At 40.3% G+C, this 16,350-nt stretch overlaps 1 protein-coding gene across 1 annotated transcript in view; it reads right to left on the bottom strand.

Annotated features, from left to right (window-relative positions):
* CR1 (complement C3b/C4b receptor 1 (Knops blood group)) overlaps positions 1-16,350 on the bottom strand; it is a 145,609-nt gene that overhangs the window by 15,159 nt on the left and 114,100 nt on the right. The window contains exons 38-45 of the mRNA NM_000651.6: positions 14,754-14,930; positions 14,566-14,668; positions 12,118-12,203; positions 9,805-10,032; positions 8,360-8,536; positions 6,542-6,727; positions 4,611-4,634; positions 3,539-3,614 (exon numbers count right to left, since the gene is read on the bottom strand). Coding sequence (NP_000642.3) covers positions 3,539-3,614; positions 4,611-4,634; positions 6,542-6,727; positions 8,360-8,536; positions 9,805-10,032; positions 12,118-12,203; positions 14,566-14,668; positions 14,754-14,930 — 1,057 coding nt within the window. The remainder of the gene's footprint in view (positions 1-3,538; positions 3,615-4,610; positions 4,635-6,541; positions 6,728-8,359; positions 8,537-9,804; positions 10,033-12,117; positions 12,204-14,565; positions 14,669-14,753; positions 14,931-16,350) is intronic.

Raw genomic sequence — 16,350 nt, 5'->3', positions numbered from 1 at the left:
ATATCTGTCAGTCTTTTTTAGCTCCAGGATAAATGGCTCTTCTGACTTGGTGACCACTACGATACTCTCCACTCATATTCTGTGTTTCCCACATGGCTTCCTTCTTCTTTGCCATGAGGCCCTTTATGCCCTTGTCTTTCTGTGAGGAAAGCTTGAGCTCCAGATAAGGAATAATCAGCCCTCCTCACATAGCCACAATGACTTAGCTTATTGGCCACACCCACTCAAGGAGGTATGACTGCATGATTAATCAGCCCAACTCCTTCCGAAAGAAGGGACCTCTGCCTTCTGATTATTTAAGTTTATTACTTCTTTTTCCCAGTTTTAGCTATGTGTTATTTCTAACATGAAAATCAGTGGTGTTTTGTTAGATAAATGCACTCACTATGCTGAAACCACCTTTGCAAAGATTCTGAGAGTGAAAGAAATCTAACATGGCTGACTTCATCTTGCTTCTAGCCTCACAGGTGGGCCGGCTTTGCTCATTCCTGGGTGTAGGCCAAGCTAACCATGAAAGGAATTTAGTTTATAATGTAACTTTGGAGCAAGGATAATAACAGTCTCTTCCTAAAACTAGCTCTCTCCTTGCTCAGGACCTGAAACCTAATGAAAGGCCAAGAGATTAGGATTAGGAGAGGGACCTGAACTCTGCTAAAATATAGGCATAGGTTTTATAATCCATTACTGCTCAGAGATTTGTGACTTCCCTAATTGCTCCTATAGATAACATCACTATGTAGAATATAAGATTGGTCTTCTGAGATGTTTTTCAGGTTTTTGCATTTGGCAACTGACTGACTCTACCTGGACTTGTGACTCATGACTCAACTGGTCCTGTGGCCCCCAACCAGAGGTGGACACAGCACATGAGGAACATTTCCCACACCCCCATCCCCAACCAATCAGTAGTACCCATTCCCTAGCTCCCTTCCTACCAAATGATCTATAAAAACCCTAGCCCCTGTGTTCTTGGGGAGACTGAGTTGAGTGATAACTCCAGTTCTTCCACGTGACTGGCCTTGTATTAATTCATCTCTTTCTTTACTGCAATATGCCATTATCTCAGGGAACTGGTTTTGTCTGTATGACAGGCAGGAAGAACACATCAGGCAGTTACAATCCCAAGAAGTGAAACAGGTCAAAAGTAAAAGTTTAGAAAATGTTTAAAAACTTTCCTGGATTACACATATAGAATAGGTTTTAGTGTGGGTTACATAGATGTTTGGGAGGTTTACATCCCTGACCTTTAAGTCTAACGAGGATCATGATCTTTCTTTCTGCCACATTTCTGGTAGCCACTGGTCAGAGAGAGAATGGTTGTGCCATGGACATTACACTTTAAAGAATATGAAAAAAATAGGAGGCAGGTTTTACGAGATGGAAAACATGAAGAAATGGTATATGGTCTCAGGTTGCTTAGACTTTACAAGACAATCATTTCCAAAGAAATAATTTTATGAAATGGTTATTGAGTCATGTTTATGCCTGAAGGTGATTAATATGAGGAAATGATCTTAAATTATGTAGGTGAAACAAATCAATAGTTAGGCTTGGGAGTGTGACCCTCTAGTTGATTAACAAGGAATGGACCATAAGTAATGAAGAATGACATAGTTAGAAGGGTGGAGATAATCAAATATCTTCAAGATATTAAAGTATCTTGAATACTTCCAAGAAGAAGGGATAATCATTTCCCCTGTGTGGTTTTAACTAGAGACTGATATAGATACAGAAAATTAGAAGCCCCAACTCCTTTAATTCAGACGTAGTAGTAATTTTTTAAAAAATTAACTCACTAATTATATGGTACTTAATGAGAAACTTTAAGAGGAAAAATGTATTGACACAAGTACTTTGTTAAGGTAAAGTGCCCAGCTACTTACCTTTTCTTTTTGTAATGGAAAAGAGCAAAGAATATATGTCAAGCCGTAAAATATAGAGAACATTAGTTAGGAAGGATGGATATTTAAATTTAAATATCTACCAATTCAGTATTTTTCCATGAAATTGAGTTCCTGTCTAGGTTCTTTACAGCAAGATCTACTATGACAAACTACTTTTTAAAAAGTATATTGGCATCTTTGTGAAATATCAAAACTTCAGTTTCTGTAAAGCTTGTTGTAGGAAACTGTACTTGTTTAGAATATTTGCTATAGAAAACCGTTCACTTAAAAGTTACAAATTCAGTTTTTCTATGGGTATAGAACTTGCTCATCAACCATATAACATTGATATTATTGATTCTGGCCTCATTGAGGTTGTTATAATTCAATCAACCAGTACAAAAGCTGTGTAGGTTCTCTTCCCTGTCAAAGACGTTTCTTTATTCAGATCTTAGTCTTTGCAAGTTTTTTTTCTTTCAAATTTAAAAAATTAATGATGGCTGGGCCCAGTGGCTCACACCTGTAATCCCAGCACTTTGGGAGGCTGAGGCGGGTGGATCACTTGAGGTCAGGAATTCAAGACCAGCCTGGCCAAGATGGCAAAACCCTTTCTGTACTAAAAATACAAAAAATAGCCTGGTGTAGTGGCGTATGGCTGTAGTCCCAGCTACTCAGGAGGCTGAGGCATGAGAATCGCTTGAATCTGGGAGGCAGAGGTTGCAGTGAGCCAAGATCGTGCCACTGCACTCCAGCCTGGGTGACAGAGCAAGACTCGGTCTTAAAAAAAAAAAAAAAAAAAAAAAAAAAAAAAAGTTAATGGTGTTTACAAAATATTTGTTTATATATTAAAATACCCAATGGAAAGTTTCAATTCTTCCCCACTGGCAGCCTATGTGTGCCATATGATATGTGTGCCATAAGTGACCCAATCTAACTTCTAGTGCTATGATAGGATCTGGGCTTAGAGGTCAGTGTCTGCAATGTCTTAGCAAAACTAGGATATCAAACAGCCTCATGAACAACTATTTAAAAACCCCTTCTGCCTACTTTCTCTTTCTGTAAAACTCAATTCCTTCTTAAAATGCTGTGTGTGTGTGTGTGTGTGTGTGTGTGTGTGTGTGTGTGTGTGTGTGTGTTTTGAGATGTAGTCTCACTCTGTCACCCAGGCTGGTGTGCAATGGCACAGTCTTGGCTCACTACAACCTCTGCCTCCTGGGTTCAAGCAATTCTCATGCTTCAACCTCCCGAGTAGCTGGTATTACAGTTGTGTGTCCCACCTCGCCCAGCTAATTTTGTGTATGTTTAGTAGAGACAGGGTTTTACCATGTTGCCCAAGTTGGTCTCGAACCCCTGGCCTCTAGTGATCTGCCCACCTTGGCCTCCCAAAGTGCTGAAATTACAGGCATGAGTCACCATACCTGGCCAAATGGTCTTTTTTTTTGTTATTATTATTATTTTTTAATTGTTCTTAGTATCCTATATACTTCCTTTAGTGTGAATACCTCTTTGTCTATACTGTGTGTCAAGGACTTTCTTTATAAGAATTACCACATCTGTTTATGTAGCAATGGGTTTGTTTGTCTTTTACTTTCTTTTGACTTCCAAGAGGGGGTAAGTACAGTTTACATTTCTTGGGATAATATGGCTATACTTACCCTTTTCTGTGCTTTAGAATTATCCAAGAGAGGAAAATGATGAGTAAAATAAAGAAGATCGTACCAGATAAAGTGCCTAGGCAGTAAAACAAGGTAATTAAATGCATGGAAAATATAACTTACAGGTTTTAAATTCTATCTTAGTATCCAGTCCCACTACAGATTGCCAATGCTTTTTTTTTTTTAAAGATGTAACTATACATTCTGCTTTACTCTGGGTTTCTATAGCATTAGTCTCACTCCCACAGGGTTATTAAAGTTAAGGTGTGAGCTGAGCCGTTTTGTAACGTTTAGTCCAATGTCAGCTTTTCCAAAAGTAAGTGAGAACCGTGATGGGGCAGCTGGCCACCAGCTCTCCATGGCCCTGCCCATGTCTCTTGCCTAAGACTTAACACACAGGCATTTCATTGTGAAAATACTGGAATTCTCTCTCTTGTTGAATTACATATTTAGGTCATTTTGTCCATTTATTGATTGTTAAAGTGCACAGTCTCCACAGATAAGTAGACCCAGGCTACCCCATTCTGTGGTCTTGGACAAGTTACGTTAACTCTCTGTGTCTCAGTGTCCAGATGCGTAAAAAGGGATGTAAGAGTAATATGCCACAGTATTCCCTTGGAAGCAAACTTTATTACAAAACTATTCTTATTTAGGCAAATCACAGATATGGGCTCAGAAGACTGGTCTTATGGCTTTCTATTTGTGCAAATGAGCAGGATCACCATCTGGAAGCATACTCCAGGTTACAACTGAAAGAAGAAGTTGCATTCTCCCACCACATTCAAATAAAGAATTTTTGACACTGATGAATGATTATTCATTTGTAATGGTTCAAAGATAGTAAAGAGCCTTTGATGAAGGTTATTTAGTATGCATATGACGATGCCAGTTTCACCATATTGTGGCCTAACTTATCATTATTTTCTTTCTAGTTGAACTTACAACTGAAGATATTTTGATCTCTTTACACCTCAAGACATTTTGATCTCTCTTTTTACATTTCATTCATTATAGGTAGGTACTTACTGTTATAGATGCCAGAATTCCTCAGCAAAACTTTCATAAAACTTACCAACTATGAGAGCATCATGTGTACCTAAAAGGAAGACAAAAGTCACAAAACATCACTCTGGCATGCAACATGATTGAACAGGACCTCTCAGCCAGTGACAAGTCATCCTGATTTTTCTTCAGGACTCAGTCTAATATTTTTTCTAATGCAAAAAGCCATTGGTTTCATTCACATACTCTCATTTTACCTTCTGCACTCAGAGAAGACTTTTAAAAATTATTATTAATACAATTACAGAAGAAAATTTATAATACAGAACTAAAGAAAAAAGTCACCCCAATCCTCATACCCAAAAAATGTTTTGATACATTCTGTTCTGGTACATTTCCTTATATGTGTGTTTTCACATAATTATATACTAGAAATATAAGTTACAACAAAGGCAAACTAACATAATCTAGTAGATGCATCATAGTGTATTCAATGACTTCTATTGTGCATTTAGCTTGTTTCTAGGTTTCTGTCTCATGAAACCCTTAATAAAATGCATAGAATATTTTAATATTTTACATTATTTCCTTAGATTAAATTTCTAGGAGGGCTAACTGGCAGGAATAGTTGTATTATTTTCCACATACATTTCATAATTGTTTTTCATAAGAGTTTTTGCAAATTTACAATAGTACCTTCAACACACAACAATATCAGTTTCATCACATCCTTGCTTTGTATTGGGTGTTCACCTAACAACCTTTTTATTGTTAATTTAATGGACAATTTTTAAAAAATGTTTTGCTCTTGTCACCGAGACCAGAGTGCAATGGAGCGATCTCGGCTCACTGTAACCTCCACCTCCCGTGTTCAAGCGACTCTCCTGCCTCAGCCTCCTGAGTAGCTGGGATTACAGGCATCTGCCACCACGACCAGCTAATTTTTTTATTTTTTAGTACAGATGGGGTTTCACCATGTTGGCCAGGCTGGTCTTAAACTCCTGACCTCAGGTGATCCATCCGCCTCGGCCTCCCAAAGTGCTGGGATTACAGGCATGAGCCACCATACCTGGCCCCTTTATTTTATTAATATCAATTTTGTTCCACTTATTTGTATGTCTCTTCTTATCCTGGTGCAAAGTGACTTTTGTATTATTGCTTTATATTTTGTTCTAATATTTGATACGGTTGGTTCTCCAATGACCTGAATTTTCTGTCAGTCCCAGCCAGATCTTCAGAATACTCTAAAAGCATTTAGTAAGTTATCCAGTGAGATTTTTGCCAAAAAAGCAAATATAATTTGATATTAAGGGAGTGTCAAGCTGATAATTTAGAAATATTATCTGCGAGTCATATTAGCATATTTACAGGATTAATTGTAAAACTGGATCTTGAACAATCTTGGTGTAGAACCATGTATTAGAAGAGTCATAAGAGATGGGGAGAAGGGAAAGTGTAGCACTAACTTGGATTAAGAAAGGCTGTTCATTATTAACTTTGCTCATCTGCTCCATGATGTGGGTAGTTTTCTATCTTACAGTACCTTCCAGTTGCCAGCAGAGGGCTACTCTTCTACAGAGCTCAATGATACGTAATTTCTAAATCTGCTCTATCCAGCTGTGCTAGCTTAAAATCCTGTCCCCTCCAGTAGTGAGGGAGACAGGCCGGCTGCTCTCTGCAGCTTGGAAGGTGCTCCCTAACTCATGCTGAAAACATTTCTTGTAAGGCTCGTAGGCTGTAAATAAATCATTACTGTGTGGCTCATGCAACCACAAAGTGATATAGACAAAAAAGGTGCAGAGCTGCAGTGAGAAGTATGAGAAGAGGAAGTCTGGCCTTACTCTCACTATGGGAGTTTTGGAATAGGTGGATGCTCATATTGTACTCTATAGCTCATAGCATATGCCATAAACATCACACTACACTTGATGCCAATATGGATGAATGAATGAGCAATAACCATGACCGGGAAGATCCCACATTCCTTGCACTTGCACTTACGAGAGGTACATTTGGCCAGAGGAGGGTCCCATCTGTCATCCGCCTGGCACTGGCTCCAGGGACTGCCTTCCAGAGTATACCCATCTTCACACTTCAAAGTCACATAATCTCCATAGTGATATACTTTTTTCATTTCTAACTCCTTCGAGATTCCATTCATAAACAGTGGGAAGCTACAATTTACTTCTGAAATTAGACAAATCAGAAAGAAATTGATATTTTATTGTTGATTGTCCGTTTTAACTGCGAGAATAGGAGAAAATAGCCAAAACCTATTTTGCCCTTGGCTAAGAGGAAGCATGTTTTTAAACATGTTACTAATCTTCCTCCTCCAAAAACCTTATGATTTAACATTTCCTGACTCCCATTTCTTAATGTAAAGTAATAGAATATGGAATGTACTGTGCATTCACTGTTGATTAACAGCTCTGCAACTGGAAAGCTGTGGAAAGATTAGGAATTAGGCTAACGGTGATCTAGCCCTGGAGCCACTGGGGTCACGCTGTGAGGGAACAGGAGTACCATGTTAATTCTGTCTGGCTTCACAACAAATACTGGCACTCTGCTCTTTATTAAATGCATAATTCTGGCCAATTTCTGCACATAGAACAAAGAAGTTAGTAAATCATGATTGTGAATTTAAAATTTATCTTTCTTTCTTTTTCTTTTTCTTTTTTTTTTTTTTTTTTGAGTCTCACTGTGTCACCCAGGCAGGAGTGCAGTGGCGCGATCTGGGCTCACAGCAACCTCTACCTCCTGGGTTCAAGCAATTCTCCTGCTTCAGCCTCCCGGGTAGGTGGGACGACAGGCATGTACCACCATGCCTGATTAATTTTTGTATTTTTGGTAGAGACGGGGTTTCACCATGTTGGCCAGGCTGGTCTCGAACTCCTGACCTGAGGTGATCTGCCCACCTTGGCCTCCCAAAGTGCTGGGATTACAGGCCTGAGCCACCGTGCCCAGCCTGAATTTAATACATCTTTCTAATTAATTTACTTTCTTTTCTTTTCTTTTTTTTTTTTTTTTTTTGAGACGGAGTCTTGCTCTGTTGCCAGGCTGGAGTGCAGTGGCGTGATCTCAGCTCACTGCAACCTCTGCCTCTGGGTTCAAGTGATTCTCATGCCTCAGCCTCACGAGTAGCTGGGACTATAGGCGCGCACCACCACCCAGCTAATTTTTGTATTTTTAGTAGAAACGGGGTTTCACCATGTTGGCCAGGATGGTCTCGATCTCTTGACATGATCTTCCCGCCTCAGCCTCCCAAAGTGCTGGGATTACAGGTGTGAGCCACCGCACCCAGACTACTTTATTTTGTTTAACTTATCCTTTGTTTTACTTTCTTTTTCTGCCCAGCCATCAGTACATCCTTCATCTTCAAGCACAGACTTCTTTTCAGTTGTAATAGTCTCAAAATTAAGCCTACAATATTTTTTTCCTAGATACAAACCAAGAAGGCAAAGTGGTATTTCTTGAAGTGTGGTCTGTGGTCTTCCTGCATCAGAGCATTCTGATGAGTTTGTTAAAAATAGACTTTTGACCCCACTTTAAAACAGAATCAGAGGCCATGGAATGGAGTTTGAGAATCTTTTTAACAAGGTGATTTTGTTAATGCTCTGGATGGAGAAGCACTGCTATCGACCATGCAAAGAGGACAGTTAATAAGATGAAATAATTTTATGTAAATGAAAAGAAAGCAGTTGCCGAGAAGAAAAAAATATTATCCCTTTCATTAAGCTCATTTCAATGTCTCTCAGCCTTACAAGCCTCATGCATTCCATACAACCCAGCAAGAATAAGGAATACCAAGAAATAAGTCACCTTTGCAATAATGATCCAATTGGCTCCAGATTCCCTGGTCTGTACAGAAAATGAAGCCCTTTCCCACTAACAGGTAGCCGGGGTCACAAATGTAGCTGATTGTCATCCCAGGAAGATATAGAGATACGTGTCCTCCAATGTAATGCCCGTTTTGGATCTTGGGTGGATGTGGGCAGGCTAAGAACAAGTTCCCACACAAACACAAGAAAAGACACTCAGTTAAACATAGACATATGAATACATGAACACATCCAATATCTCTGGCTATTAGAGGTACATGAAGACCTCAACCAGCCAGGTCATAAGCCACTCCCTCCTATTTGATCAGTGAAAGACGGGTTCTCTAAACCTAGACCTCTTGACATTTAAACACTATCCTCTACAGTCTCTAACTTCAAACTAGATCAGATGGGGGAGTACCACAGGGATCGACAAGCTACCGATTCAGTGCTGTTCTGTCCTTACTGGAAGATGGAACTGGTGTGGGCAGTCACAGCCACACATGTGCCTACAGTTGTCAGGTACTGTCGTTTAAAGCCAGACTAATATATCAAAGGAATGAGCTATGGAGGCTAAGAGTACAATCTCTCTCTCTCTCTCTCTCTCTCTCTCTCTCTCTCTCTCTCTCTCTCTCTATATATATATATATATATATATATATATATATATACACACACACATATATATACACATATATATATACACACATACACACACACACACACACACACACACACACATATATATATATATATATATATATACTTTAAGTTCTAGGGTACATATGCACAATGTGCAGGTTTGATACATAGGTATACATGTGCCATATTGGTTTGCTGCACCCATTAGGCTAAGAGTACAATTTTAAACTCTGCTTCTCCAGGGCCTCCTGAGTTCCCTTTGTTAATGTTGAGGTGAAGGATCAAACAAACATAGTCAGTGGCTTGAACAAACCCTTGGAAACAACATAAAAAGTATAAATCCCTACATCTGAGTTTCTCAAATTACTTTTATAGCGTTATCAGTTCTGAAGTAAATTACATCATCAATGTGTACTTTTTGCACAGCACATCCATCTCTCCAGGATAAAGATAACTCGTAGTAGTAGAGGTGGAATAAAAGAGTATTTTCTTTAGCATTTGTTTTCAGTACTTTGAAAACATTCCCTACTAAATCTGGACCTCATCAATTCTCTTCACTGTCCACCCCCTTCTCTCCTTACCATCCCACACTCTTCACCCCATAGGAAGGACCATCAGAATACCAACAATTGAGACAGCGTGCCTATCTATAACCCGTTTGTCATTCACTTGGGAGGTAGTTCTGTCTCTGACAGTTACAGCAAAGCCATTTTCACAAGCAAAAATGACTGTCACTATAGAAATATGGAGGTTCTTACCTAGATATTCTGAACCCATTTAGGATATGTGGAAGCAGGTACTAACCAGCAGGAACAGAAAGTTCACAGCGAGGGGCAGGGCTGCTCCAAACCCCATTCCCTTGAGGGTCACTTGTGCAGCGGATGGAGCTCTCCCCAATGAGGTTGAAGGTCATCCCTCTGTCTGGGTGGGTGTCGCATGCGTAAGATATTTCTTTTCCATAGGGAATATCTCCAAAGGGAGTTCCTGTGTGTCTCCCATTAAGGATAGCTGGAGGATTTGGACAAAAGATTTCTAGAAAGAAAACAAGAGCTTTAAGTTCTATTAGAATTTCACTTAAGATGACTGAAACAATAGTGACCTGTGACTGTGCGCTTAAAAAGAATATAACTTTTAGAAAGAATATAACTAAGGTAGACGGAATTTAAATCTGTAAGGCTTTTGTTGAGAGGCAACTAACTGAAGTGAGACCTAAATTACAGTTTATTGCAAAAGCCCAAAGACAGTGTTCCTGGACCACTCAGGTACCTATGTTCACAATGAATTTGGAAAGTAATTGTTTTTATTTTTTTTAAAAACACCCATTTGGTTGTCTACTTTAACTCAGGCATAGTAAGATTCCTGAGTTGACAATGAGGTTCAAGACAGACAAAGTTTTGGTCATCAGAGACCATAAGTTTCAAGGAAATCTATGAACTTTAATAAACATGAGCTATCATCTTTAGCAATGTAAATGTTTCTTGGTGATTCAAGACCATTACCATCAGGACCAATACCAAATTTCCAGTGGTGTCATCAGACACCAGTAAGGCTGTTTTTACTCAGATTAAATGGTGCCAAAGAGCCTTTTTTGATTTCTTCCAATTATTAGCCACCATTTCTTCCTCCTTTTAGTCTGCTTAGAACAGTTCCTTCCCTAAAAGCAATTGATGCTTCTAGTTTGATATGAATTTAGGAAGAGATACCCAAATTTATCAGAATTATGTGTATATAAAAGACCTAGTACATCAAACAATGATTGACTTCTCATGCTTGAATTTTACCTGTTTGTGTTTTCCTAAGTTTATTTATATATTTATTTTCAGCTCTATGTGTCTCTGTAAGGTTGAGTTTGTTGAATACTTGAGTTTCCTCAGGTATTGAATGTTCTTCACCATAATACTCACCATAAGGTATCCAAATTGATTTCTATAAGTTATTTTAACACAATACAAATTAAAATAAACATTTTCTAATAATCAGGAAAACAAGGTTTAAAAAATTCTTGCCTTGCTTTAGTAGACAGAATAGAATCAATCAGTAATGTCTTGGTATGTCAAACATGTACTTTTATCTAAGAGTTTCTGAATTTTTTCTGAATTTTGGCATATTTTATTTAAGCGGATGGTTTGGAAACTTAGGACACCTCATCATTTCAGACACTGATTCATCATCCCAGCTCCTTCCATCGTACTAATTTATCATATAACTCTGTTTTATTTTCTCCATAACATCCCTATTTAACTACCATTTTATATGTTATAATTTTTAGAATTTTGTTTACTTATTTATTTCCTTGTTCATAGTCTGCTTCCCAACAAGAAAATACATCCCAGGAAAGTAGGGAGGTGTCTTCACTATTCATTCACTATTCATTGCTTTTTCTACACATGGAAAGTCCTGGCACATGGGAAGCCCTATGTCATTAAATACTGCAGGCTAAAAAACAAGCTGACTAAATTGTTTATGATATGCGAGGGGATAAAAGAACATAAAAATTTGGCTGGGCATGGTGGCTCGCACTTGTAATCCTAACACTTTTGGAGGCCAAGGTGGGAGGATAGCTTGAGCCCAGGAGTTTGAGACCAGCTGGGGCAATATGGCGAGATTCTATCTCTACAAAAAGTACAAAAATTAGCCAGGTGTGGTGGCATGCACCTGTAGTCCCAACTACTGGGAGGCTGAGGTGCGAGGGTCATTTGAGCCCAGGAGGTTGAGGCTGCAGTGAGCTGTGATTGCACCACTCCACTCTGTCCTGGGTGACAGTGTCTCAGAAAATAAAAATAAAAATAAAAATTTAAGAAAGATTCCTCCTTGATAAGAAAACTAAAAATAAATGACTGACTAAAACGTGCTGCACCTTTATGTCATCTAGTTTCTTGCCACACATTCCCCACAAAATTAAACAGTCATTAAACTAAGTGATTTGCAGATTAGTAACAAAAACACATGTCAGAGAAGACCTACAAGACCCTTCTTGAAATTCTTCCAACAAAGAAGTATTTTTATCCATAATTTAGTTAAGTAAAGATCTAGACAACAGGTGATGCCATGCGGAAAAACATGCTGGAAAACGAAAATAAGGAGAGCTATCCAAACTACATAGTTCTTTCTACTCACGTTCACACACTGGAACACTGCTATTCCAAAGGGCTTTCATTCCAGCCAAGACACAATGACTAGCAGACCTGCCTTTTAATCGGAACCTAAAGAAAAAAAAAGTGGTAGCAAATGTGTGAGCAATTCCCATCTCTCCCTTGATTTCTTCGCTAATAGATGCTCAGCTTCCTCACTACCATTTCCTCCTCGACTATCATTTAGGTCTTAGGTTCAGGCCCAGCTAAAAGTCTTAGTTCATTAGGGATCTGAATTCTTCAGTAGCTGACAGAAACTCAAAGGCCAATTTATTCTAAAGAACCATGGTACCCTGTGACTGGCAAAGCAATTAGAGCTGATGTGCATAATTGCCATATAAACTTCATAGCCCAGCATCACCTACAGAAGGCATGAACACAGAACCATACTTCTCCATGGGCACAAGAGCCATAACCTTCAGGTGTCATCTTTCACTGATGGCTCTCTGACATCCCACTTATTCTCATTAGTGGGTCATGAGGCAGAACAGCTCTCGATTTGGTAAGCAAAGCCAGGAACATCTAGAAAGAGAACGGGCACTGTTCTTCTTGCTACTACAACTGTAACAGGCCAGAGGAGGCTCACAGAAGCATGCTGAACCACGTGCTCTAAGAAAAAAAGAAGGGAGGGGGGAAGAGTCTTTGCACCCCAAAATGCCCAACTTATTGAATCCTGCTTGCCTTCTGAAATCTGAAATCATTCTGAAATTGGAAATCATTATTAGGTGGTGGACTTTGTAAATGCCGAAGATTCTTTGGAAATCATTAAAAATAACTGCTTAATTGCCCAATCTAGTTATCCCTCCAGACTCATAGTGCACACCACCAAGAGTAATGGATACACATAAACAACTAATAATACCACTTGAAACTGATAGAAGCAGGAGGCAGACAAATCCTAGGCAGATGGGGCAGATCCCGGTGAAACCCGACCTTCAAGCTGAAGACAGTTTAAAGCCTAGCTACAAGTTCCAGGTAAATCCATGGACTGGTTTGAGAACCTCTCTTCCCATTTGGTGTGCTTTCCTCTGATTGATCCTCACTGTTCATTTAGTTTACATATACCTGAGCTTCCCTAATTGGTTTTTTACACTGTTGTGCCCACCTTTGAGTGGTGTCTTTGTTTTAGTCTTTTTTGCATAGTCACAAACCAATCAGCACAGGCTCCCCATTCTGTGTCCATAAAAGCCCCAGAACCAGCCACGCTGAGAGAGAGAATGACCCCCTGACTTCATCTGGGGTCCACCCTCGTGTCTCGTCTCCGCTGAGAAGCTGTTTTGTCACTCAATAAAACTCTTCTCCACCCTCCTCACCCTTCTATTGTCAGTATAACCTTGTTCTTCTTGGATGCGGGACAACAACTCAGGACCCACCAAACGCAGGTACAAAGAAGCCTGTAACACTGTGGCCCTCCGCCCTCTGCTGTGGGAGGGCAGCTGTACCACGCGAAAGGAAGCAGCAGCGGATCAAGCCAGAGCTGGGCGACAGGAGATGTGGGGCGACAGGATTGACAGAGCTGTTAAGCACACTGTCATCTGTTGGGCTGCAGGCATTATCAAATGCTAAGAGCCATTAGTGTGCTGTAACACCTCCTCTGGGCTTTGGGGTCATGGGCACCCCTGTTTGGGCACCACCACGTTCCCTTCAGTGCGACATGCCTGGTCCAGCCGCCAGCACTGCTCAGAGCCCATTCCTGTGCAGGTGCTTGGAGTGGCCAGCTGGACCCCACACTCACTCACTCACACATCCCCTCCCACCAGGGGCTGAGTGTGCAGTCATGGTGGCCCCAGGGTCCCAGTCAGAGCACCAGCCAGACGCCGCCCAGTGGGCTAAGTATCTGGGGTGTTTCCTGCGGTGAGCCTGGGCCCAAGCAAGGCCTGGGCAGGGGCATTGCTGTCCAGAAGTCACTGGCTGGCAAAGTGGCTGAGAAAAATCCTGCATTAAAAGAATTACACTGGCCATTCCTGACCTGAAGATATATTATTGGGTTAAAACACACTTATCCATGCACTATTACAGATTCCACTATTGATTGGTTTTAAGTTTCTTAAGACAACCTCTACCTTACTTCTTATGGGGCAAACAATTTTTGTCTTATTCATCATTTATTTTCTAGCATACCTCTTATAAAATTATGTTCTTTTGCCTCCAAATAAATACGTACCCATTCATTTCAAGTTCCAACTGTGTACTCAAGATCAGTGACTGTATTTAGGTTTGTACCTGACATTGAGCTGTATGTGCCATTTTCTCATTGCCTTCTGAAAGTGGTGCCACTTAGTCCCTACCCTTATTTCAAAACTACCCTTCCATAAATTAATCTCTCTGGGTACTTCTTATCTACTAGGTCAGCTCCTTAATTGGATTAACCCCTGATCTCAAGAGAGTGATTCTCCACACTGAGTCCTTGGTCTCAACGCTGGGTCACACTCACCCTTCATCGCAAACAAAGGACACCTTTGCCCCAAGCTGGAGATTAAGTGGAAGTAGCACACGGCCATGAGGGAGTTGGCCCAGGAAGTCATCACAGGATTTCACTAGAAGAAAAAATAAAACAACAGGAGTAAGTCCTCCATGTGAAGGGGAAAACAGAGCAATCTGGAAGCCAGAGAGTCAAGGCACCTGTACATCTAGGGGCTTCAGGGCTCCAGTCTCCCTGGGGCGTGCAGTGCAGAGACGCAGCCCCTCTGAGGTCATAGCTGGGCTCACAGCTGTAGAACACTTCCTGCCCAGGTGAAAAGTTGTCCTGATGGCTTAGGGTATGCTCACCATGCAGGATTTCTGGAGGCGGCTGACACACTGTGGAAAGGACAGTTCCAGAGCACTTGTTAGATATGGGGCAATTTCCTTTGTTATATCTTATGCTTACCAGAGGGCTTAAAAATCGTCATTGCAGAGTGCAGCTATTAAAAGAGAAGATTGGTAGTTCAGTAGCCACATCTCACTAACAAGGAAGCTAAGGAAACCAAGCAGAACTGTGACTAGAATCAAAGTCTCTCCAACACCTTGTCTGTGTTTTTTCTACTGAAACATGTTCCAAAGACTATAAGGCAGCATATTCCTCTTGCTTTCAACTACTGGTTATGGAGCACAGAGTCGTGAGTGCGGGTGGTTTGGCCACTCTTCCACTTCCTACAGAGGCAGTCCCTCAAGCTCATGCGTAAGGCAACAGCAAGGAGTACTGTTGCCAAGGTCTCATCTAACAGACACCTTCACGTATTCTTCATTTTCCACACTCCCTGACCCTCTTTCAGTCAGCACAGGGCTGAACTGTTAGCTTCCTTTCTGTCCCTGTGACCAGTCCTAATTCTTCCCACTCCATGTTTTAAGCCAGTCATTTCAGCTAAGAAAAGAGGAGGCATCAAGAACAAAATCGTGGGGATAGGGGGTGAGGGTAGGGAGGGGAGGTGGGGACAGTTAATGGGTACAAAAAAAAAAAGAAAGAATGAATAAGATGTAGTATTTGATAGCATGACAGGGTGACTATAGTTAGTAATAACTTAATTGTACATTTAAAAATGAAAGAGTGTAATTGGATTATTTGTAACACAAAGGATAAATGCTTAAGGGCATGGATACCTCATTCTCCATGATTATTTTACATTGCATGCCTGTATCAAAACATTTCATATACCCATAAATATATACACCTACTATGTACCCACAAAAATTAAAGATTAATAAATTAAAAATAAACAAAAAGAACAACCCCCCCTCAAAGAAAAAAAAGCTACAGACTTTTTAGTGATAGAACATATTGCTTAGACCGTATTTTAACCGAAATGTTGGCTGCCTCCATCCACAGGACAATTGGTGTGTTCTCAGGGCATCAGAATGCATTTGAAACTAGGCATGGTGGCTCAGGCCTGAAATCCCAGTACTTTGGGAGGCTGAGGCAGGAGGATTGCTTGAGGACGGGAGCTCAAGATCAGCCTGGGCAACATAGCAAGACTCTGTCTCTAAAAATAAATAAAAATTAGCCAGGTGTGGTAGTGAGCACCTGGAGTTCCAGCTACCTGTGAGACTGAGGCAGAGGTCTTACTTGAGCCCAGGAGTTAGAGGCTTCAGTGAACTATGATTGTACAACTGTACTCCAGCCTGGGCAACAGAGCGAGACCTTCTCTCAAACAAACATACAAACAAACAAACAATCAAAAAACCTCAAAGAATGAATTTGAGCCTCAATCTGAACAATATATAATTATATATCAAGTATATA

The sequence above is a fragment of the Homo sapiens genome, chromosome 1, assembly GCF_000001405.40.
Source record: "Homo sapiens chromosome 1, GRCh38.p14 Primary Assembly".
In the NCBI taxonomy this organism is placed as follows: Eukaryota; Metazoa; Chordata; class Mammalia; order Primates; family Hominidae; genus Homo; species Homo sapiens.
This window is presented reverse-complemented; position numbering and strand designations above follow the sequence as displayed.